We start from the raw sequence: 23291 nt of genomic DNA, 5'->3' as shown, positions 1-23291 counted from the left end.
TTTCACTAATTGTGTCTTTCATTTCCAGAAGTTGTAATTTTTTCAATAATATCTATTTCTCTGGAGCATTTTTCATCCATATCCTGTATTTTTTTTTAAATTTCTTTAAGTTGGTTTTCACCTTTGTCTGGTATCTCCTTAAGTAGCTTAATAATCAACCTTCTGAATTCTTTATCTGGCAATTTAGATATTTCTTCTTGGTTTGAATCTAATGCTGGGGAGCTAGTGTGGCCTTTTGGGAGTGTTATAGAACCTTGTTTTGTCATATTACCAGAATTTACTTTCTGATTCCTTCTCATTTGGGTAGACTATTTGAGCAGAAAAATCTAGAACTCAAGGCCTGCTGTTCAGATTCTTTTGTCCCATGGGGTGGTCTCTTGATGTGGTACACTTCCCCTTCCCCTAGGGACGGGGTTTCCTGCAAGCCTGACTGCAGTGATTGTTATTGCTCTTCTGGGTCTAGCCACCCCGCAGGGCTACCAGGTTCTGGGCTGGTGCTGGGCAATGTCTGCAAAGAGTCCTGTGATGCGATCTGTCTTCAGTTCTCCCAGCCGTGGATACCAGAACTTGCCCTGGTGGAGGTGGCAGGGGAGTAAAGCAGACTCTGTGAGACTCTTTGGTTGTAGATATGTTTAGTACCCTGGTTTTCTCGAATGCTGGATATGCTGGTAGTGAAGTTGTCACATGGATCGACTCAGGACCTCTGGTTAGCCAGGATGTTGCAGGCAGTGGAATTAGTTGTTGTTTTCTCCTTCCTTGGAGCAGGGGTATTCTGTCATGAGTTGCTGTAATATCCTGAGTTAGTTAGCCTCCAGCCAGGAGGAGGTGCTTTCAAGAGAGCACCAGCTGCAATAGTAGAAGGGAGATATAACCTTGCCCTAAGTTGGCCAGGACACGTATTCAGGTTTCTCAAGTGATAGATGGGGTCATAAATCTCCCAAGTGTTTATGTCTTTTGTGATCTGCTACCAGGGCAGGTAGAGAAATACCATTAGGTTGGGGCAGGGTTAGGCGGATCTGGGCTCAGAGTCTTCTTGGATGGGGCTTGCCATGGCCATTATGGGGGATGGGAAGTGGTTCTTAAGCTAATGGGATTATGTTTCAAAGGGGATTATGGCTGCCTCTGTCATCAGGGAAGTGTGGAAAAGCTGGTAGCAATAGGCCTCATCCAGCTCCCACGCAGTTGTTGAGGCCAGTCTTGCTCTGATCATGTCCTAATAACAGCACTGAGCTTATCTCCAAGTAGCCCACACATGGGACTAAGACCTAATCCCAGGCTATAAGTTTCCCTGCTGAAAAAGCAAGCACAGCTTTCAGGCCATGCCCCTCCCTGCCTGCCATACTGTCAGCTGCAACTCCTGCTGTCCTTTCTGCAGCAGTTCCCATTCGTCTCCAGATTCTGCTCAACAGTTTGTACTCGGTCAAAATTATTAGAAAGTTCAATTGGAAACTTCTTTCACCTTGTGACCCCTCTGAAATTCCACTGGCTGCCTTCCCCGAAGGCCCTGTGAGATATGGTCAGGGTTGGCTTCCCTGGGCTCAAGCTGGAGAATGGCAGTGCCTATATGGCTCTTCCTGCTGGTGCTTCTACTTCTATATTTCACACTAAATCTGTTTTAGCTCTAGATAAGGTTAAATCTTTCTCCCATAACCTGTATTACTTTGGGAATTCATAGTTTGTCGCCTGCCTCAGATAATTTGCAGTGGCCTGTCTCTTCTCTCAAATGATCTGTAAATTCTTTTGGTTTTCTGGGTGCGCTCCTGTGGTGGTTCCTTAAGCAAAAGTCAGTGGTGTGAGTCTCCATATGCTGTTCTGTTCATCCAAGTGGGAGTTACACATCAACCCTGTCTCCTATCTGCCGTCTTCTCCCCATAATCCTCCCGTGTCCTCCTTTTTTATGGCCAAATAATATTTCGTTGTGTATATATACCACATTTTCTTTATCCATTCGTCTATTGTTGGAGAGTTACGTCGTTTCTATATCTTGGCTATTGTAAAAAGTACTACAGCTGGGCGCGGTGGCTCATGCCTGTAATCCCAGCACTTTGGGAGGCCAAGGTGAGTGGATCATGAGGTCAGTAGTTCAAGACCAGCCTGACCAACATGGTGAAATCCCGTCTCTACTAAAAATAAAAAATTAGCCGAGCATGGTAGCACACGCCTGCAATCCCAGCTACTCAGGAGGCTGAGGCAGGAGAATTGCTTGAACCCAGGAGGCGGAGGTTGTGGTGAGCGGAGATAGTGCCACTGCACTCCAGCCTGAGTGACAGAGCAAGACTCTGTCTCAAAAATAAAAACAGAAAAAAAGTACTACAATAAGCATGAGAGAGCAGATATCTCTTCAACCTACTGATTTCATTTCCTTTGGACATTTACCTAGTAGTAATGGGATTGCTGGATCATATAGTAGTTTTATTTTTAATTTTTTGAAGAAACTCCATACTGTTTTCCACAGTGGATGTACTAATTTAAAATCCTACCAAAATATGTATGTGTTCCCTTTCTCCACACTCCACCCAATACTTGTTTTCTTCTGTTTTTTTTTTTGTTGTTTTTTTGATGGAGTCTTGCTCTGTTGCCCAGGCTGGAGTGCAGTGGCATGATCTCGGCTCACTGCAACCTCTGCCTCCCAGGCTTAAGTGATCCTCCTGCCTCAGTCCTCCAGTAGCTGGGATTACAGGCACGTACCACCATGCCCAGCTAATTTTTGTATTTTTAGTAGAGACGGGGTTTTGCCATGTTGGCCAGGCTGGTCTCAAACTCCTGATCTCAGGTGATCCACCTGCCTCAGCCTCCCAAAGTGCTGGGATTACAGGCATGAGCCACTGCGCCCGGCCCTCTTCTGTCTGTTCTATAATAACCATTCTAATTTGTGTGAGGCAGTATGTCCTCGAAATTTTGATTTGCATTTCCCTGATGATTAATGAAATGTAGCATTTTTCATACACCTGTTAGCCACTTGTATATCTTCTTTTGAGAAACATGTTAAGATCCTTTGCCCATTTTAAAATCAGATTTTTGTTTTTATGTTAAGTTCTTTATATAGTCTAGATATTAACCCTTGTCAGATATATGGTTTGCAAATAATTTCTCCTATTTTGTAGGGTCGTCCCTTTGCTACACAAAAGCTTTTTAGTTTAATGTAATCCCATTTGTTTACTTGTTGTCTTGTTGGCTGTGAATTTGAAGTCTTATTTTTAAAATCCTTGCCTAGTCCCATATCATGAAGTGTTTCCCCTATGTTTCCTTATTGTACTTTCACAGCTTTGGGTTGGATGGATTGTTTTTTCTTTTTCTATTCTTTTTTTTGGGGGGAAGTTCTTGCTCTGTCACCCAGGCTGGAGTGCAGTGATGCAAACGTGGCTCACTGCAACCTTGACCTCCTGGGCTACAGGCATGCACCACCACACCTGGCTAATATTTTCTTTTCTAAAAACTAGAGACAAGTGTCAGGCACGGTGGCTCAGGCCTTTAATCCCAGCACTTTGTGGGGCTGAGGTGGTAGGATCACCTGAGATCGGGAGTTCAAGACCAGCCTGGCCAACATGCTGAAACCCCATCTCTACTAAAAATACAAAAATTAGCCAGGTGTGGTGGCATATGCCTGTAGTCCCAGATACCTGGGAGGCTGAGGCAGGAGAATTGCTTGAACCCCGGAGGCGGAGGTTGCAGTGAGCTGAGATTGTGCCACTGCACTCCAGCCTGGGCAACAGAATGAGACTCCATCTCAAAAAAACAAAATAAAACAAAACAAAACAAAAAAAACAACAACAAACTAGAGACAAGGTCTTGGTATGTTGCTCAGGCTGGTCTCAAATTTCTGGTTTCAAGTGATTCTCCAGCCTTGGCCTCTCGAAGTGCTGTGATTAAAGGCATGAATCACCATGTCTGGCCAGTTTTGGGTGTTACATTTAGATCTTTAATCCATCTTGAATTGATTTTTTTGTATGAGATGACAGGTAGGGATCTGGTCTCATTCTCCTGCATGTGAATATCCAGTTTTTTCTGTACCATTTATTAAGAGATTATCTTTACCCCAGTGTGTGTTCTTGGCACCTTTGTTGAAAATCACTTGGCTGTAGGTGTGTGAATATTTCTGGGTTCTCCATTATATTCCATTGGTCTGTGTGTCTGTTTTTATGCCAGTACCATGCTGTTTTGCTTAATATGACTTTGTAGTATATTTTGAAATCAGGTAGTATAATGTGTTCAGCCTTGCTTTGCATTCGCTCAGGAATGCTTTGGCTATTTGGAGTCGTTTGTGATACTATATGAATTTTAGCATTGTCTGTCTTTCTTTGTCTCTCTCTCTCTTTCTCTCTTTCTTTCCCTCACTCCCTGCCTGCTCCCTCTCTTTCTTGACAGTGTTTTGCTATGTTGCCCAGGCTAGAGTTCAGTGGCTATTCACAGGGTGACTATAGCATAGTGCAGTCTCAAACTCCTGGGCTTAAATGATCTTCCTGCCTCAGCCTCCTCCCAGTAGCTGGGACTATAGGGATGTACCACTATGCCTGGCTGTTTTTTCTATTTCTGCAAAATATGTCATTGGTATTTTTATATGGATTGCATTAAATCTATAGATTGCTTTGGATAGTATGTCTATTTTAACAACATTATATTCTTCCAGTCAATGAACATGGAATATCTTTACATTTTTGGGTGTCGTCAATTTATTTCATCAATGTTTTATAGTTTCTATTGTAGAGATCTTTCATTTCTTTAAGTTAATTCCTAGTTATTTAATTTTATTTGTAGCTATTGTGCATGGGATTAATTTCTTGGGTTCTTTTTTTCAGACTGCTGTTGGCATATAGAAATGCTACTGATTTTTGTATGTTGATTTTGTATCCTGCAACTTTACTGAATTTATCAGTTTTAATAGTTTTTTGGTGGAGTCTTTAGTTTTTTTCCCAAATAAAAGATTATATCATCTGCAAACAAGGATAATTTGACTTCTTTCTTTCCAATTTGGATGCTCTTTATTTCTTTCTCTTGTTTGATTGCTCTAGCTAGGACTTCTAATACTATGTTGAATAACAGTGGTGAAAGTGGGCATCTTTGTCCTATTCTAGATCTGAGAGAAAGGCGTTCAGTTTTTACCTGCTAAATATGGTACTAGCTGTAGGTCTGTCATGTATGGCTTTTATTGTGTTCAGTTGTGTTTCTTCTATACCCAGGTTTTTCAGAGTTTTTGTCATGAGGGGATGTTGAATTTTATCAAATACTTTTCCAACATCAGTTGAAATGACCATATTGTTTTTGTCCTTCATTCTGTTGATATATCACACTGATTGATTTGCACATGTTGAACCATTCTTGCATCCCAGGGCTAAATCCCATTTGGTCATGATGAAGACTTTTAATGTGTTGTGGAATTAGGTTTGCTAGTATTTTGTTGAGGCTGTTTGCATCAATGCTTATCAGGGATATTAGACCGTAGTTGTCTTTTTTTCTAATGTGTCTTTGTCAGGTTTTGGTATCAGGTTAATACTGGTCTTGTAGGATGAGTTTGGAAAATTTCCTCCTCTTTATTTTTCAAAATAGTTTGAGTAGGATTGGTATTATTTCTTCTTCTTTTTTTTTTGAGACAGGGTCTCACTCTGTTGCCCAGGCTGGAGGACAGTGGTACGATGTTGGCTCACTGCAGTCTCCACTTCCCAGTATCAAGCAATTCTCTAGCCTCAGACTCCTGAGTAGCTGGACTACAGGTGTGAGCCACCAATGCCTGGCTAATTTTTGTACTTTTTTGTAGAGACAGGGTTTTGCCATGTTGTCCAGGCTCTTCTCAAACTCCTGAGCTCAAAGTGATCCACCCACCTTGTCTTCCCAAAGTGCCGGGATTATAGGCATGAGCCACTGCACCCAGCCTATTGTTTTCTCTTTAGTGTTTGGTAAAATTCAGCAGTGAAGATATCAGGTCCTGGGCTTGTCTTTGCTGACAGACTTTATTATAATTTTGATCTTGTTACTTGTTATTGGTACATTCAGGTTTTGGATTTCTTCATAGTTCAATCTTGGTAGGTTGTAGATGTAGAAATTTATCAATTTCTTCTAGGTTTTCCAATTTATTGGCATATAGTTGCTCATGGTATTATCTAATGACCCTTTGAATTTTTGTAGTATTGGTTGTAATGTCTCCTTTTTCATCTCTAATTTTATTTATTTGGATCTTTCTTCTTTGTTTTTATTGTTGTTTGAGACAGAGTTTCACTCAGTCACCCAGGCTGGAATGTAGTGGCGTGATCTCTGCTCACTGCAACCTCCAACTCCTGGGTTCAAGCGATTCTCATGCCTCAGCCTCCCAAGTAGCTGGAATTATAGGTGTGCGCCACCACACGTGGCTAATTTTTATATTTTTGGTAGAAACAGGGGTTTTGCAATGTTGATCAGACTGTTCTTAAACTCCTGACCTCAAGTGATCCACCCTCCTTGGCCTCCCAAAGTGCCAGAATTACATGAGCAACCATGCCAGACCCCTCTTTGTTTAGTCTGGCTAAAGTTTTGTCACTTTTGTTTATCTTTTCAAAAAACCAATTTTTGTTTTGTTGATTTTTTAAAATTCCGTTTTAATTTATTTCTGCTCTGATCTTTATTATTTCTCTGACTAATTTTGGTTTTGGTTTGCTTTTTCTTTCCTAGGTTTTTAAGATGCATCATTAAGTTGTTTATTTGAAGTTTTTCTACTCTTACAATTTAGGTGCTTATTGCTATAAACTTTCCCTTAGTAATGTTTTTGCTGTATCTCATAGGTTTTGGTATGCTGTGTTTCCATTTTCATTGGTTTCAAGCCAGTTTTAAATTTTCTTCTTAATTTCTTCACTGTCCCTCTGGTCATTCAGGAACATATGGTTTAATTTCAACGTGTTTGTATAGTTTTCAAAGTGGTTATTGCTTTCTAGTTTTATTCCATTGTGGTCAGAGAAGATATTTTATATTATTTCAATGTTTTGAATTTTTTAAGATTTGTTTTTTGACTTAATCTATGGTCTATCCTTGAGAATGATCCATGTGGTGAGGAGAAGAATGTGTATTCTGCAGCATGATCTTTGGGAGTCTGATTATCAAATGTCTTGAGGTAGTCTTCTTTGAGTTTAATCTTCTTGGTAGGTTGGGTGTGATGGCTCACACCTATAGTCCTAGCACTTTGAAAGGCTGAGGCAGGAGGATATCGTAAGCCCAGGAGTTTGAGACCAGCCTGGGCAACATAGTGAGACTCTGTCTCTACAAAAATTTTTAGAAAATTAGCCAAGTATGGTGGGATGCACCTATGGTCTTAGCTACTGGGAAGCTGAGGTGGGAGGATTGCTTGAGCCTGGAAGGCTGAGGCTGTGGTGAGCCATGATTGTATCAGTGCACTCCAGCCTGGGCATGACCCTGTCTGGAAAAAAAAAATCTGCTTGCTATTCTATAACATTCTTTTGCTTGAATATTGGTATCTTTCTCTAGGTTAGGGAAATTCTCTGTTATCCCTTTGAATAAACTTTCTAACCTGATCTCTCTATATATATCTTCTCTTTAAGGCCAATAACTCTTAGATTTGCCCTTTTGAAGCTATTTTCTAGATCTTGTAGGCATGCTTCATTCTCTTTTATTCTTCTTTCTTTTGTCTCCTCTGACTGTGTATTTTCAAATAGCCTGTCTTCCAGCTCACTAATTCTTTCTTCTGCTTGACCAATTCTACTGTTAAGAGACCCTGATGCATTCTTCATTATGTCAATCGAATTTTGCAACTTCAGAATTTGTTTCATTTTTAAAAAATTATTTCAATCTCTTTGACAATTTATCTGATAGGATTCTGAATTCCTTCTCTGTGCTACCTTGAATTTTGTTGAGCTTCATCAAAACAGCTATTTTGAATTCTGGGTCTGAAAGATCACATAGCTCTATCACTCTGGTATTGGTCACTGGTGCCTTATTTAGTTTGCTTGGTGAGGTCATGTTTTCCTGAATGGAGATGCTTGTGGGTGTTCATCAATGTCTGGGCATTGAAGAGTCAGGTACTTATTGTGGTCTTTGTAGTTTTGGCTTGTTTGTGCCATCAAATTCAATTGACGGGTATCTTGTTGATCATTTTTGCATCTATGTTCATCAGGGATATTGGCCTGTAGTTTTTTTTTTTTTTTTAATTGCGGAGTCCTTGTCTGGTTTTTGAATCATGGTATTGATGACCTCATAAAATGAGTTTGGAAGGATTATCTTCTATTCAATTTTCTGGAATAAGTGAAAATAATTGGTATTAGTTCTTCTTTAAATGTTTGGTAGAAATCAGCAATGAAGTGATCAAGTCCTGAGCTTTTTCTTTGATGGAAGTCCTCTTATTACTGATTCAATTTCCTTATTCATTTTTTGTATCTTTTGTATCTTTTGGGTCTTCTCATGTTTTGTATTTCTTCACATTTAAAAATAAAGAAATGGATAAATTATGTTTGAATTGTTCATAAAAATTTCATGAGACATTAAACAAAGCTAGTCATTATCTTGTTATTTTTCTTCTTAGTAACAATTATCAAAAATCATCACAGAACAAAGAACCTAAAAAAAAGTTATGGATCTTTTTAATTCTCTCCTTTTAAAAAATGTCATGTTTGACACACATCAAGCAATTTATTTTTATTGTGTATTTGTTCATAGGTTAAATTTATTTATAATTTTATGACATGTCTTAGTTCACTTAATTTGCTATGGTAGCTGAGACTGGGTAGTTTATAAAGAAAATAAGTTTATTAGACTCATGATTCTGGTGGCTGGAAAGTTCAAGATTGGGCATCTACAACTGATGAGGGCCTCAGGTTTCTTCAACTCATAGTGGAAAGCAGAAGAGGAGCTTGCATGTACCAAGAAATCACATAGCAAGAAAGGAAGCAAGAGAGAGAAACTCAGGAATCCACTCTTTTTAACAATCTACTCTTTTAGGAAGTAATCTATTCCCATGCGAATGAAAACTCACTCACCCCTGAGGGAGAACATTAATCTGTTTATGAGGGATCTGTCCATATGACACAAACGCCTCCTACAAAGCCCTATATCCCCAAAGTGGCACACTGGGGATCAAATTTCAACATTTTGGCAGGGACTTACCAAACCATAGCACCATCCTAAACCACAGGAGTTTTTGATTAGTAAACCCAGGTACAAGCAGTTGTGTGTCTGCATTATAGTTAATGTTAACAACCCTAAACACGTGCCTGTTTTAATTAAACCAACAGACTTAAACAAGCTTTTTATTTACTAACGTTCATCCCAGGTCATGTAAACTTGAAAAATATTTGGGTTATTTCCTATTTTTCTGAGAGAATGCTTAATTTACAAAAGCATTTATTTTCTTCCTTCAAGCCATAGGTACAAATAGGACAGTTGTTTAGGATGAGAGCTCTTTTAGAAATATACTTTTGGATACAAAAATCCAAATCTCCAAAGATATACCTAGTCCAATTGCCACTTAAACCAATAAGCTTTTTGTGGCTTAACCATGGATGTGAGAAGTGCCCCTAAAGAGGGTGCAAAAGATGCAGTCTTGGCTGGGCAAGGTGGCTCATGCCTGTAATCCCAGCACTTTGGGAGGCCGAGATGGGTGGATCACCTGAGGTCAGGAGTTCGAGACCAGCCTGGTCAACATGGTGAAATCCCATCTCTACTAAACATCTCTACTAAAAATACAAAAATCAGCCAGGTGTGGTGGCATGCGTCTATAATTCCAGCTACCCGGGAGGCTGAGGCAGGAGAATTGCATGAACCCAGGAAGCGGAGATTGTAGTGAGCAGAGATTGCGCCATTGCACTCCAGCCTGGGTGACAGAGCGAGACTCTGTTTCAAAAAAAAAAAAAGTTGCAGTCTCCCTGAAGATCCAAATTTTCTCCCCAAGATAGCCTAACAAAGCAAAGATCCTCATTGTTCACAAGGCAACACAGCTTGAGACAATTAAGACAAATTCCCCTGAGAGCTGGCTCAGTTAGACAAAGAGGCATTTTGTGTTTTGTTCTCTTAGCCAGCTGGCTAACAACCTGACCCAAGCCCAACAACCTGTACCCCTGACCCTGGCTGGTGGAGACCAGAGGGAATATCCTATTCTCACTGGTCACAAAGCCAAGCTCTCAAGACATAAAGGAAAATGTATTATAATTTTTCTCCTTTCAACAAATTACACAAAAGAGGGAGAGGGGAAAAACAAGGTCTATTTTTGGGAGACTTTGGATTAATAATCAATGGGCACCCAGAACCAAATTCGCAAAAGTCACAATTTAAATAATCAATTCATATTGATGTTTTTATCCTGGTAATCCAAATCTAGAAAAGAAGGGACAAACAAAAATGTTTATCTTCTTCTCTCAGACAAGCACTACAGACAGAGATATGGAGGAGCTGACTTTGGTAAGAATGTCAGGTCTCCCAGGATCCCTTCTGTAGGCTTCATTACAAGCAGGATGTCCCAGGCTTTAGGGTCTCTTTCTCATCACCAGAAAGTATAGGGAAAGACAATTACATTTTCATCCTTTTAGGTTCTGGGCTGGTTCCAAAAATTAAATCAATATAAGATAGATTAGCAGGAGAAAAACATGATACAAGTTTTATGTAAACTTATAAATGGGGCCCTTAGAAGGAAATGAAGACCCCAAGGAAGAAGTTAGAGTCAGTTACCAATATAATGGATTGGAGAAAGAATAGTAAACTGTGAAAATATTACTAAATTATGTGGGGAGAGTTAAAAATAAGAGTTATTTCAACAAGGTCTGTGCAGTATTCTCTCAGTCTCAGCTTCTCATTCTTGAAAATAAGGTTGTTGCCTTTCCTTCTAGTATAGGGAGAATGTCTTTCATACGGGAATTTCATTTTCTGTGCTAAGAAACAGTGTGAAGATCAAAGTGATCCTTTTTGCTCCTGCTCTTCTTTAAGTGTTTATAATTTTAAAAATCAATATACCAGAATAGCATATTTTAACGACTTCACTTCCCCTGACTGGAACTTCCCTAGAAGTTTCAAACATTAAAAGCTAAGTTGGTGGCTGTGGAGAGAAGAAGAGCGTAGGAAAAAAGGGATGTACTAGTCAATTCAGGGAGTTCATCTAGAGAAGGATAAAGAAGAGGAGGAGTGGTAGGAAAGGAAGCAGAAGGCTCTAGAGAGGAAGGAGTCTCAGCTAGCTTTGAGACAGTATTTTGCAGGAAGGCAACTTTTGAGTCCTGAATGCATTTTCTAATCTTGAGATGCCAATTAAAATGTGCATCCTCTGGCCGGGCGCGGTGGCTCACGACTGTAATCCTAGCACTTTGGGAGGCCGAGGCGGGTGGATCACGAGGTCAGGAGATCGAGACCATCCCGGCTAACACGGTGAAACCCCGTCTCTACTAAAAATACGAAAAATTAGCCGGGCGTGGTGGCGGGCGCCTGTAGTCCCAGCTACTCGGGAGGCTGAGGCAGGAGAATGGCGTGAACCCGGGAGGCGGAGCTTGCAGTGAGCCGAGATCGCGCCACTGCACTCCAGCCTGGGCCACAGAGGGAGACTCTGTCTCAGAAAAAAAAAAAGTGCATCCCCTTTGAACTGTTTGACCCTCTAGCCATGGTCTTCTAGTTTAATTCTAAGGAAAACAAGCTTGGGAGTTGGAACGATCCTAAAAAATGGCCATTGGAGCTCTAAATTATCTTTGGTATAATCTTCACGTCAGTTTAAAAATGCACATGGATGCGCCATAATGTTTAAACATGCAGCCGGCTGGGGTCCCTGAAGGAGGGTTGTCCTGGCATGCCTTCGAATTTCAAGACCCCATCCTGTTTCTTATTAACCTCTCAAGAGCAAAGAGAAAATCCTATAAGTCATATGAGGAGGTTAGGGGCTGTGGGCAAAGCGTTTTCCTTTTTTTTTTTTTTTTTTCTTTGAGACGGAGTCTCCCTCTGTCGCCCAGGCTGGAGTGCAGTGGCGTGATCTTGGCTCACTGCAACTTCTGCCTCCCAGGTTCAAGCCATTCTCCTGCCTCAGCCTCCTGAGTAGCTGGGACTACAGGCGTGCGCCACCACGCCCAGCTGATTTTTGTAATTTTAGTAGAGAGGGGTTTCACCATGTTGGCCAGGATGGTCTTGATCTCCTGACCTCATGATCTGCCTGCCTCGGCCTCCCAAAGTGCTGGGATTACAGGCTGAGCACCGTGCCCTGCCCGTGTTTTGCTTTTAATAAATATGCCTGGCACAGGATACTTGCTTTCCTTGATGGAGAGCCTTTGTTCTAGTTGCCCAACCCATGACCACCTGTGAGCCTGGGCAAGGATGACCAGGGCCCCAGTAGGCTCAGTAGTATCACGCCTAAGGTACAGCCTCCACTCCAGGGATGAACTGCACTTATCTGGAACTGAGCTTCAACAACAAAGTAACTGGAGACAGGATGAAAAATGCTGACGTTGTGCTCCTAAATCCCTCTAAGTGGTGTCGGCAGTTGAGAGGAAAGGGAACCAACCCTGTGTTCTTTTTTCTTTTTGAGACGGAGTCTCGCTCTGTCGCCAGGTTGGAGTGCAAGTGGCACAATCTTGGCTCACTGCAAAATCCACCTCCCGGGTTCAAGTGATTCTCCTGCCTCAGCCTCCCGAGTAGCTGGGACTACAGGTGCCCACCACCACACCCGGCTAATTTTTTGTATTTTTAGTAGAGATGGGGTTTCACCATGTTGGCCAGGATGGTCTCGATCTCTTGATCTCGTGATCCACCCGCCTCGGCCTCCCAAAGTGGTGGGATTACAGGCGTGAGCCACTGCACCTGGCGGGAACTCTGTGTTCTTGACTTCTGTCTGTACTGGAGTTCCTGTCTGGCTTAGTGAGGAGGAGGGGACCGAGGAAGCTGTCTCCGTTCAAGTATCTCAGACTGTCACTCTTTTTAACTGAATTTTCATAGACTTTCTTGTGTAGGTGTTTCTTCATTTGCTGTTTGACCTTAGGACAATTTTCAGAGGCTTTAAATTGTGTATTTTGTTTTTATAATTTCACTGGTTTTACTAGGGAGTGGGTCTATGGGCTTTCTCATGCTGTCATGCCAGAAGACAGTCTCTTCTGCCTAAGGATTTTAGAGTTGCATTTACAAATTATTAGAAACTTGGCTGGGCATGGTGGCTCACGCCTATAATTCCAGCACTTTGGGAGGGCAATGCAGGCGGATCCCCTGAGGTCAGGAGTTCAAGACCAGCCTGGCCAACATGGTGAAACCCTCTCTCTACTAAAAATACAAAAAATTATCTGGGTGTGGTGGCATGCACCTGTAGTCCCAGCTACTCTGGAGGCTGAGGCAGGAGATTCGCTTGAACCTGGGAGGCAGAGGCTGCACTGAGCCAAGATCATGCCACTGCACTCCAGCCTGGGCAGCAGAGTGAGATCTGTCTCAAAAAACAAACAAACAAACAAACAAAAAACAAATTATTACAAACTTCATCTCTTAAAGCAACACACATTTACCATCTCACATTTCTAGAGCCCAGAAGTCCGAAATGGGTCTTACAGGGTAAAATCAACGTGCTGGCAGGTATACGTTTCTTCTGGAGACTCTAGGGTAGACTTCATTCCTTGCTGTCTCCTGCATTCCTTAGTTCATGGCCCCCTTCCAACAATTTCATCACTCCAACCCCTGATTCTGTCATCACAGCTGCTTCTCTGAAGCTCTGCCTCCCTCTTATCCTTATAAAGACCCTTGTGATTACATTGAGCCCATCCACAGAATCCAGGATAATCCTCCCATCTCAAGATCTTAATTTAATCACATCTGCAAAATCCCTTCTTCCATGTAAGGCAACACATTCACAGGTTCTGGGGATTAGGACCTGGACATCTTTGGCAGGGGAGGCCATTGTCTGCCTACTTCAGAGCTATAAACTAGACTGTTCCTGAGCGCTCTGATTATTGTTTTTTTCTCAGGATTGATAAAAGAAGTTGAGCCATAAGAAGATCATTAGCACTCAAGAGTGTTATTTAGATGAACAGGAAGCTCATAAAAATATTTTTCTCCTTCACTAAAATAAAACACACAATTAAAAACAAACCGATTTTATAATTACTTGTAATTGAATCATCTGAAACCCAGCATGTGAATTACTTTGTCATAGTTCCTAATATCCTATTAAGTTTTAATCATACTAAATCATGTGAGGCCATCTGTGTTGAAGATTCTCTCATGACCACTGGTAATGTTCTTCCCTATTTATCATGCCTGACTTTTGAATATATAATAAAGAAATAGGTGCATATAAATGGAATAAGATCTTTATCTTTTTTTTTTCTTTTTCTTTTTCTTTGAGATGGAGTTTCACTCTTGTTGCCCAGGCTGGAGTGCAATGACATGATCTCGGCTCAGCGCAACCTCCACCTCCTGGCTTCAAGCGATTCTCCTGCCTCGGCCTCCCAAGTAGCTGGGATTACAGGCATGTGCTACCATGCCCGGCTAATTTTGTATTTTTAGTAGAGACTGGGTTTCTCCATGTTGATCAGGCTGGTCTTGAACTCCTGAGCTTGTGATCCGCCCTCCTCGGCCTCCCAAAGTGCTGGGATTATAGGTGTGAGCCACCATACCCGGCCTTGGAATAAGATCTTTTTACCTTCAACCAAAAATGTTTTTTCTTATTATCTTTATTTTAACAAGCATGATTTTTCTTAATACTACATTAAGATAATATATCTAAAAGAGGGAGAGTTTTAGGTGATGATTACAGAACTCTCAAATCTTAAAAATGAAATTATAGCCAGGCGTGTTGGCTCACGCCTGTAATCCCAGCACTTTGGGAGGCTGAGGCAGGCAGATCACCTGAGGTCAGGAGTTCAAGACCAGCCTGGCCAACATGGCAAAACCCCGTTTCTACTAAAAAATACAAAAAGTAGCCAGGAGTAGTGGCTGGCACCTGTAATCCCAACTACTTGGGAGGCTGAGGCAGGAGAATCACTTGAACCTGGGAGGCAGAGGTTGCAGTGAGCCAAGATCTTGCCATTGCACTCCAGCCTGGGTGACAGAGCAAGACTCCATCTAAAAAGAAAGAAAGAAAGAAATTATCAGTTAGTTTATCCTCATTATTCTTTGATTCTCCATTTGTGAATTAGTCTGCTCACTAACATTTATTTGTAACCCCCAAATGTACAGTGTAACATTTCCCATTAAAAAAATAAATAACTTGTAGTGTTTTCAGGGTAATTTGTGGACATGTATAGAGTTGTGAAAAATCTGAGTCACTCAACATGCATGTTCCCAGCTGACCTCAAATAAGATGATCTTTGCCTTCCTGTTTGTAAACTGGTGTCCTTTTCAGTGTCTGTTTAGAGCCATATTTTTCACATTTTATGCTTTTTGTTGGTGATTTCACTGTTTAAAATAGTTCCAAGTGTAGTGCTAAAATGTTCACCAGTGTTCCTAAGCATAAGAAGGCTATGTCATTGTAGGAGAGAATATGTGTTAGATAAGCTTTGTTCAGGGGAGATACTAGGTTCAATGTTAATTAACCAACTATGTATTAAATAGGATGTCTTTAAGCAGGACATATAATACAAGGTTGTGTATTAATCGATTCAAGAAAATGTGACCAGGGGCCTACAGGAAGCTAACCCTGTATTTCCTCTAGGAAAAATGGTTCAATATTTGCTAATTCGGGGTTGCCAGTGATGTTACAGAACATAACTACTGTGAGTAATGAGAATCGAGTATAATTCTTTTTTTTTTTTTTTTTTTTTTTGAGATGAGGTTTTCTCTTAATGCCCAGGCTGGAGTGCAATAGTGCAATCTCTGCTCACTGCAACCTCTGCCTCCTGGGTTCAAGCAATTCTTCCACCTCAGCCTCCCAAGTAGTGGGGATTACAGGCTCATGCCGCCACGCCTGGCTAATTTTTGTATTTTTAGTAGAGATGGGGTTTTGCCATGTTGGCCAGGCTGGTCTCAAACTCCTGACCTCAGGTGATCCGCCTGCCTCAGCCTCCCAAAGTGCTGGGATTATAGGCATGAGCCACCATGCCCAGCCGAGTATGATCCTTTTTCAGTTAAAAATCAGTGTATACTGCTTACAGTCTTTATTTCTACTTTCGTTTGCATTTGAATCAATTAGGTTTTATTCATTCTAAGTTCTACTCTCCTTTATAGTAATAAAGCATGATGGAAAGCTAGAGCTACAATTTGTGAAATATAGTCTGTACTAAGTATATTTTTAAAGTAGGGCTTTTTTTCCTTGACAGGATAAAATCTGAACGTACCTACTAAATGTCCTCATTGCTGGTTGGGCATGGTGGCTCATGCCTGTAATCCTAGCACTTTGGGAAGCCAAGTCAGGAGGACTGCTTGAGCCCAGGAGTTTGAGAGCAGCCTGGGCAACATAGCGAGACTTGTCTCTACAAAAAATAATTTTTAAAAGTTACTCAGGTGTGGCGGTGTGCACCTATAGTCCTAGCTACTTGGGAGACTGAGGCAGGAGGATTGCTTGAGCCCACGACTTGGAGGTTGCAGTGAGCTATGATCGTGGATGTTGCCACTGCACTCCAGCTTAGGCAACAGAGCAAGACCCTGTATCTAAAATAAATAATAAATAAATAAATGTGGCTGGGTATGGTGGCTCGCACCTGTAATCCCAGCACTTTGGGAGTTCAAGGAGGGCAGATGGCTTGAGTCCAGGAGTTTGAGACCAGCCTGGGCAACATGGCATAACCCCACTCTACAAAAAAAAAAAATACAAAAATTAGCTGGGCATGGTGGCACATGCCTGTAGACCCAGCTGCTCTGGAGGCTGAGGTGGGAGGATCACCTGAGCCCAGGAAGCAGAGGTTGCAGTGAGCTGAGATTGTGACACTGCACTCCATCCTGGGTGACAGAGTGAGACCTTGTCTCAACAAGAAAAAAAAAAAGAATAAATATCTGGGTTGCTAACAACCATATCAAGTACTTTATTATGCTTAGCTTTACATAAAAGTATCATTAGGGTCAAAGTCCCTAGGTCCACACATCCTGCCTGAATGTTATCAGAACTAAGAGCTCATTTGAAGTCAGCCTGGAAACTGCAACTTTTTCAGATGTGCTGTATTAAAATTATGGATCAATCTTTTATTTCTTTTTCTTTTTTTTTTTTTGAGACGGGGTCTTGCTCTGTCACTCAGGATGGAGCACAGTAGCACGATCTTGGCTCACTGCAACCTCTGCCTCCCGGGTTTAAGTGACTCTCATGTCTCAGCCTCCTGAGTAGATGGGATTACAAGTGTTTGCCACCATGCCCTGCTAATTTTTGTATTTTTAGTAGAGATGGAGTTTTACCACGTTGGCCACACTGGTCTCAAACTCCTGACCTCAGGTAATCCACCTGCCTCAGCCTCCCAAAGTGCTGGGAGTACAGGCATAAGCCACTGTGCCTAGCCCAGATCAATCTTTTCAACTCCAGAATTCTGAGTTTTATATATGCAGATGACATCACCTTATGCTCACTATAAAGAGTTGAGTCCTATGTGCATAGAGGGCTTCTTGGAGTGATGGAAATATTATTTATCTTGGTAGGGATGGGGTGGTTACATGGTTGTATACACTTGTCAAAACTCATAACTGTACATTTCAATAAATCTGACCTTAAAATGAAAACAATCCCATTTGAGAAGAAACTTTATGTTGATAGAGGTTAAGCAACCCTGTGTGGGGAAGAGTTTTCTTAGGCAAAAGGCTAAGATAGTATTCTTTACTATTAAAAATATACCTTGGGCCGGGCACAGTGGCTCATGCCTGTAATCCTAGCACTTTGGGAGGCTGAGGTGGGTGGATCATTTGAGGTCAGGAGATCGAGACCATCCTTGCTAACACGGTGAAACCCCGTCTCTACTAAAAAAAAAGTACAAAAAATTAGCTGGGCATGGTGGCATGCACCGCTGGTCCCAGCTACTCAAGTGGCTGAGGCAGGAGAATAACTTGAACCCAGGAGGCGGAGGTTGCAGTGAGCCAAGATCGTACCACTGCACTGCATGCCAGCCTGGGTGACAGAGTGAGACTCTGTCTCAAAAAAAAAAAAAAAAAAAAAAAAAAAATATATATATATATATATATATATACATACATACATACATACATACACACCTTGAGCCTGAGCAATATAGGGAGACACTGTCTCTACAAAAAAAGAAAAATATTAGCTGGGCACAGTAGTGCAAATGTGTAGACCAGCTATTTGGGGGGCTGAGGTGGGAGAATTACTTAAGCTCAGGAGGTTGAGGTTGCAGTGAACTATGACTGTACTACTGCATTCCAGTCTGGGTAACAGAGCAAGACCCTGTCTCAAAAAGAAAAAAAAAAAAAAGATGTTCAAATATATCTTCAATCTAGTAACTTCCCTTATTTTTTGCATTTTCTTCTGTATAATCCTTCTTTTTTTTCTTTCTTTCTTTTTTTTCTTTTTTGAGATGGAGTTTCACTCTTGTTGCCCAGGATGGAGTGCAATGACGTGATCTTGGTGTGGTGATCTTGGCTCATCACAACTTCCGCCTCCCGGGTTCAAGCGATTCTCCTGCCTCAGCCTCCCGAGTAGTTGGGATTACAGGCATGCGCCACCGTGCCCGGCTAATTTTGTATTTTTGGTAGAGACAATGTTTCTCCATGTTGGTCAGGCTGGTCTCAAACTCCTGACCTCAGGTGATCTGCCTGCCTTGGCCTCCCAAAGTGCTGGGATTACAGGTGAGCCACTGCGCCTGGCCTTGTATAATCTTTCTTTACCTTGGATTTTAATTGCCTTATACAAACATTTTCCTCAAAAAATAAAGTTTTATCTGTATCCATGTATTCACAAATGTTTTCAGCCAAACTCTAATGTGGTTTAACTCTTAATCCACAGAACTCACTCACTTGAGATGTTACAATGTCCCTAGTTAAGGAAAAGACATCTGACCATAAGTAAAACATAGCGACTGAGATGAGACGACAGATGCTCTTCTTAGGCAGTGGCCTCTCTTTAGAACTTTCCAGGCTTTGGCTGTTCATAAACATAAAAAGTGAGTCCACAAAACCTGTGCCCCAAGTGGCTCCTTCCTGCCCACGACCTGTACAGATCGGTAAGTGAATGAATGAAAAGAATTCCTGTCACTCAATACACTTCAGGAGGGGAGAATTTAAGAGAGGGAGGAAGAAGCCTGCTCATGTTTCTGACACTGGATGCCTCTTAAGGGCATGGAGATGGGCAGATAATTGGCCAGGTGTGGCTTTGTGACTCTGGTTTCCCTGGATTAAACGGTAACCCTTTCCAAGTCTCCCTGCAGCTTAGCCATGGGGAAGCCATCACTTCCCCCAGACCCGCTTAAGATTTAGGCAGGCAAGTCGCTACTCAGCTCTCTCTGGGAAGGCTGGAAAAAGCCAGCCTTGGACACAGTGGCATCTATGCTGTCAAGTTTGCACAAACATATCTGGGTGGCAGGGTAAGTCCTCATTGTTTACCTCTGGAAACACTGGATGTTTCAGCCCCTCTGAAGAACTACTGTATAGGGGAAAAGATCCTGCTTTCATCATGTACTGTCTGTGCAGCCTTGAGGGGTTATTCCCTACTGTAACAACATAGTGACCGTTATTGAGTTCTGGAGCGAATTAAGTAAGAGAACATACAGGATTGTACGTGTAAGGACAAACACAGTATTCGGCACAGCAGTCACTCACCTCACATGACTTCTTTCTCTCTGATAGAAAATTCATACTCCCTTTCATGCTTTGGTTTCTAGGAAGCATGAGGAACTCAGTGTTTATTCGTTTGATTTATGAAGTAATTTCCTTTAGTCTAGGTTTTCTGGTGTTGTTATTCTACTTTTCAATTTCCAATTCTCCCCTTGATTTTGGTCTAACTCAAAGTCCTCTTTTATCTTCAGATCTTGATGGACATTGGTCCTGAGAATTTGAAGTTTCTGGGTCTCATTCCTTCTGGTTCGACTGCTTCAGGAAGTGAATGGGCTTAACAGCAAGGCAGGCTAGGACTTCATCGAAGAAGGGTGTTCAAGGCCAGCCTTCAAGGCTAGGACTGTTAAGTGGTGAGGAATAGGCCTGGGTTGAGTCTTTAGGGAATTAGCCTGCTGAAAGAGGTGGTGCCAAGGAAGGAAGCCAGTGTTCTTTTTGTTGTTGTTGTTTGTTTGTTTTGAGACAGAGTCTCGCTGTGTCACTGTGTCACCCAGGCTGTAATGCAATGGCACCATCTTGGCTCACTGTAACCTCCGCCTCTTGGGTTCAAGCGATTCTGCTGCCTCAGCCTCCCAAGTAGCTGGGACTACAGGCGCACACCACCACACCCGGCCAATTTTTGTATTTTTAGTAGAGACGGGGTTTCACTATGTTTGCCAGGCTGGTCTTAAACTCCTGACCTCGTGATCCACCTGCCTTGGCCTCCCAAAGTGCTGGGATTACAGGCGTGAGCCACCGCACCCGGCCCGGAAGCCAGTGTTTACAACTGTAATACTCAAGAGTTGTTGTGGAAAGTAAAAAGTTCCTCTTCAAAGTTTCCCTTCTTGTTAGAGGATAATAATAATAATACATGTTAGAAATAATAGTTTCTCTTAAAGACTAACTTTCTTCAAAACCTATTTACAAAAGTTTTTAAGCTGTTAGCCAATCGGGTTCAGTTTAGATTGTGAGGTTTGGCTCCAACCAACAGAGATCAGACACAGCAGTAAGGACCCAATGTGTAAGGAATAAATATGCCTGCCTTTCCTTTGTTCATTGTGCTCTCATGGCAGGATTGCTAAGGGGCAGCACCCTTTCTGCAGAAAGTAAAATTACTTTGCTGAGGAAACTTTTTGTCTAAATGTTGATTTTTCCTTGCGGTACTGAAAAACGAACATTTTGCATGTAACAGTTGTCAAGGGAGGACAGACAGTCTTAGCAGGTATCACACTCCAGGGGCTTCAGAATGGTGAGTGGGGAGTTCTGGTACTCAAGAGTGGGTACATGGCAGCCTTCCAGACCACAACATGGGGATCCAGGAGAGGGAGTCCAGGCCTTAGAAAAGGATGAATTTCTGAGGAGTATATAAGTGGGGGGAAAAATTAAGGTTTTACAGGACCTGAAGCTTGTAAAACCTGGGGAACCCCCTTTAAGGAAACAAATAAACAAACAAAAATATTTCACTTTTCAAATGCTTTAAAGCATAGACTGTGAACAGTTTGCTAGGGCTCTTCTCAGGGTCTTGGCAGGGGCCCATGCCAGGGAGGGGCCTGAAGCTTAAGCTTCATTAACTCCACAGCTCATCTACCTCTGTCCTGCAGAGAGAGGGGTCTGGGCTCCAGACAGTCAAATCAGGAAACTGAGACAGCTGTCCACTCCAAAAGAGGCAGGGCTCATAAAACAAGGGTTAAGAAAAAGGAGGTGGCTTAATGTTCATGTGGTTATTCAGGGAAGCTAGCTCAACCCCAGGCCTGTTCAGGTTGGATGATCTGCATTGGTGGTCACATTACAATGTGCCCAGCATAGTGCAGAGATTAGGAGGGGCCCAGTGCCCTCTATGTCTTGTGGCCAAGTCAGGCAGAAGATGAGGTCTGGTAGGGACTTGTACATATTTGTTTGTTTATTCAGTCATTGAATACTTTTCCTTCCTTCCTTCCTTCCCCTTCCTTTTCTTTTCTTCCTTTCTTTCTCTCTCCTTCCTCTCTCTTCTCTTCTCCTTTCTTTCTTCCTTCCTTCCCTTCTTTTCTCCTTCCTTCCTTCCTTCCCTGCTTCCTTTCTTCCTCTCTCTCTCTTTCTCTCTTTCTTTCTTTCTGACAGTCTCGCTCTATTGCCCAGGCTGGAGTGCAGTGGTGCGATCTTGGCTCACTGCAACCTCTGCCTCCCGGGTTCAAGTGATTCTCATGCCTCAGCCTCCCACGTAGCTGGGATTATAGGCATGGGCCACCATGCCCAGCTAATTTTTGTATATTTAGTAGAGATGGGGTCTTGCCATGTTGGGCAGGCTGGTCTTGAACTCCTGGCCTCAAGTGATCCACCTGCCTTGGCCTCCCAAACTGCTGGGATTACAGGGGTGAGCCACCGCGCTCGGCCAAGTCACTGAATACTTTCTGTGCCTTGAGGAAAAAAGACTAAGGCCCCATCCCTGCTCTGAAGGAGTTCACTGTCTAAAACCAGCAACTGACACCAAAACATGATGTAGCCAGAGTCCCCAAAGGAAGTTACTTGCAGAACCCAAGAGCCTCTAGGAAGACTAGTGAAGAGGAGGTTGGGATGATGATTAGGCCCTAAAACATTGGTAGGAGCACTTGGAGCTTCTGAAAGGAGTAGGATGACCAACTGTTCCAGCTTGCCCTACCAACTCCTGATTTTAACAAAGTCCTGTGTTCCAAGAGATTCCTCAGTCAAGGGAAAACTGGGATTGTTGGTCACCCTAGGAGGAAGGGACACTGACTAGTTTCTTTGGAGGAAGGAGGGCATTGAGGTCACTGGGATCAGTCCTGAGGCACCATTCATTTCCCTTTGGGGTGTGACAGGGAATGATGACCTTTACACGATTTCTGATCGAGCCCTGAGGAGCTGCAATCAAATTTCTTGAGAGTGTGGGAGGCTGGTACAAGGATTTGTAATCCTGGGCCTGCTTAAGAAGGTAACGTGTAAGAAGTGGCAGTGGTGGAGAAGCAGCCTGGGAGAGCAGTCCAGCCCAGAATCTAAGATGTAGCAGCTGGGTCAGATGAAAGATAAGGCCACCAGGTAATGCAGCACACAGCAGCAGTGGCCTCTGAATCAATAACAATGGACTACCCCAAAGAAAGGAAATCAGTACATCGAAGAGCTATCTGCATTCCCATGTTTATTGCAGCACTATTCACAATAACCAACATTTGGAAGCAACCTAACTGTCCATCAACAGATGAAATGGATAAAGAAAATATGGTATTACACATAATGGAGTACTATTCAGCCATTAAAAAAATGAGATCTTGTCATTTACAACAACTTGGATGGAAATGGAGGTCATTATGTTAGGTGAAATAAGCCAGGCACAGAAAGACAAAGTTCACATGTTCTCAGTTATTTGTGGGAGCTACAAATTAAAATAATTGAACTCATGGAGATAGAGAGTAGAAGGATGGTTACCAGGGGCTGGGAAGGGTAGTGGACAGGGGTGAGGGGTAGGGCCGGGGGAAGTGAGGATAGCTAATAGGTATAAAAAATGGAAGGAGTAATAAGATCTAGTATTTGATAGCACGACAGGGTGTCTATAGTTAAAAATCACATTTTTTTATTTCAATAGCTTTTGGGGTACAAGTGGTTTTGGGTTACATGGATGAATTATATAGTGGTGAATTCTGACATTTTAGTGTACCAGTCACCTGAGTAGTGTACATTGTACCCAGTAGGTAGCTTCTTATCAC

The 23291-nt window shown here is 42.3% G+C and overlaps 1 annotated feature.

Moving 5' to 3' along the window:
- Nucleotides 9667–10168: an enhancer, noted in NCBI's record as "NANOG hESC enhancer chr3:141961954-141962455 (GRCh37/hg19 assembly coordinates)". NCBI's record gives its function as "activates a minimal SCP1, AML or CMV promoter by ChIP-STARR-seq in primed H9 embryonic stem cells {active_cell/tissue: H9 hESC(primed)}" and the evidence as "EXISTENCE:reporter gene assay evidence [ECO:0000049][PMID:30033119]".

This window comes from Homo sapiens, chromosome 3, assembly GCF_000001405.40.
Source record: "Homo sapiens chromosome 3, GRCh38.p14 Primary Assembly".
NCBI lineage: Eukaryota > Metazoa > Chordata > Mammalia > Primates > Hominidae > Homo > Homo sapiens.
Note: the sequence above shows the minus strand (reverse complement) of the source record. Positions and strands in the feature narration are given on the sequence as shown.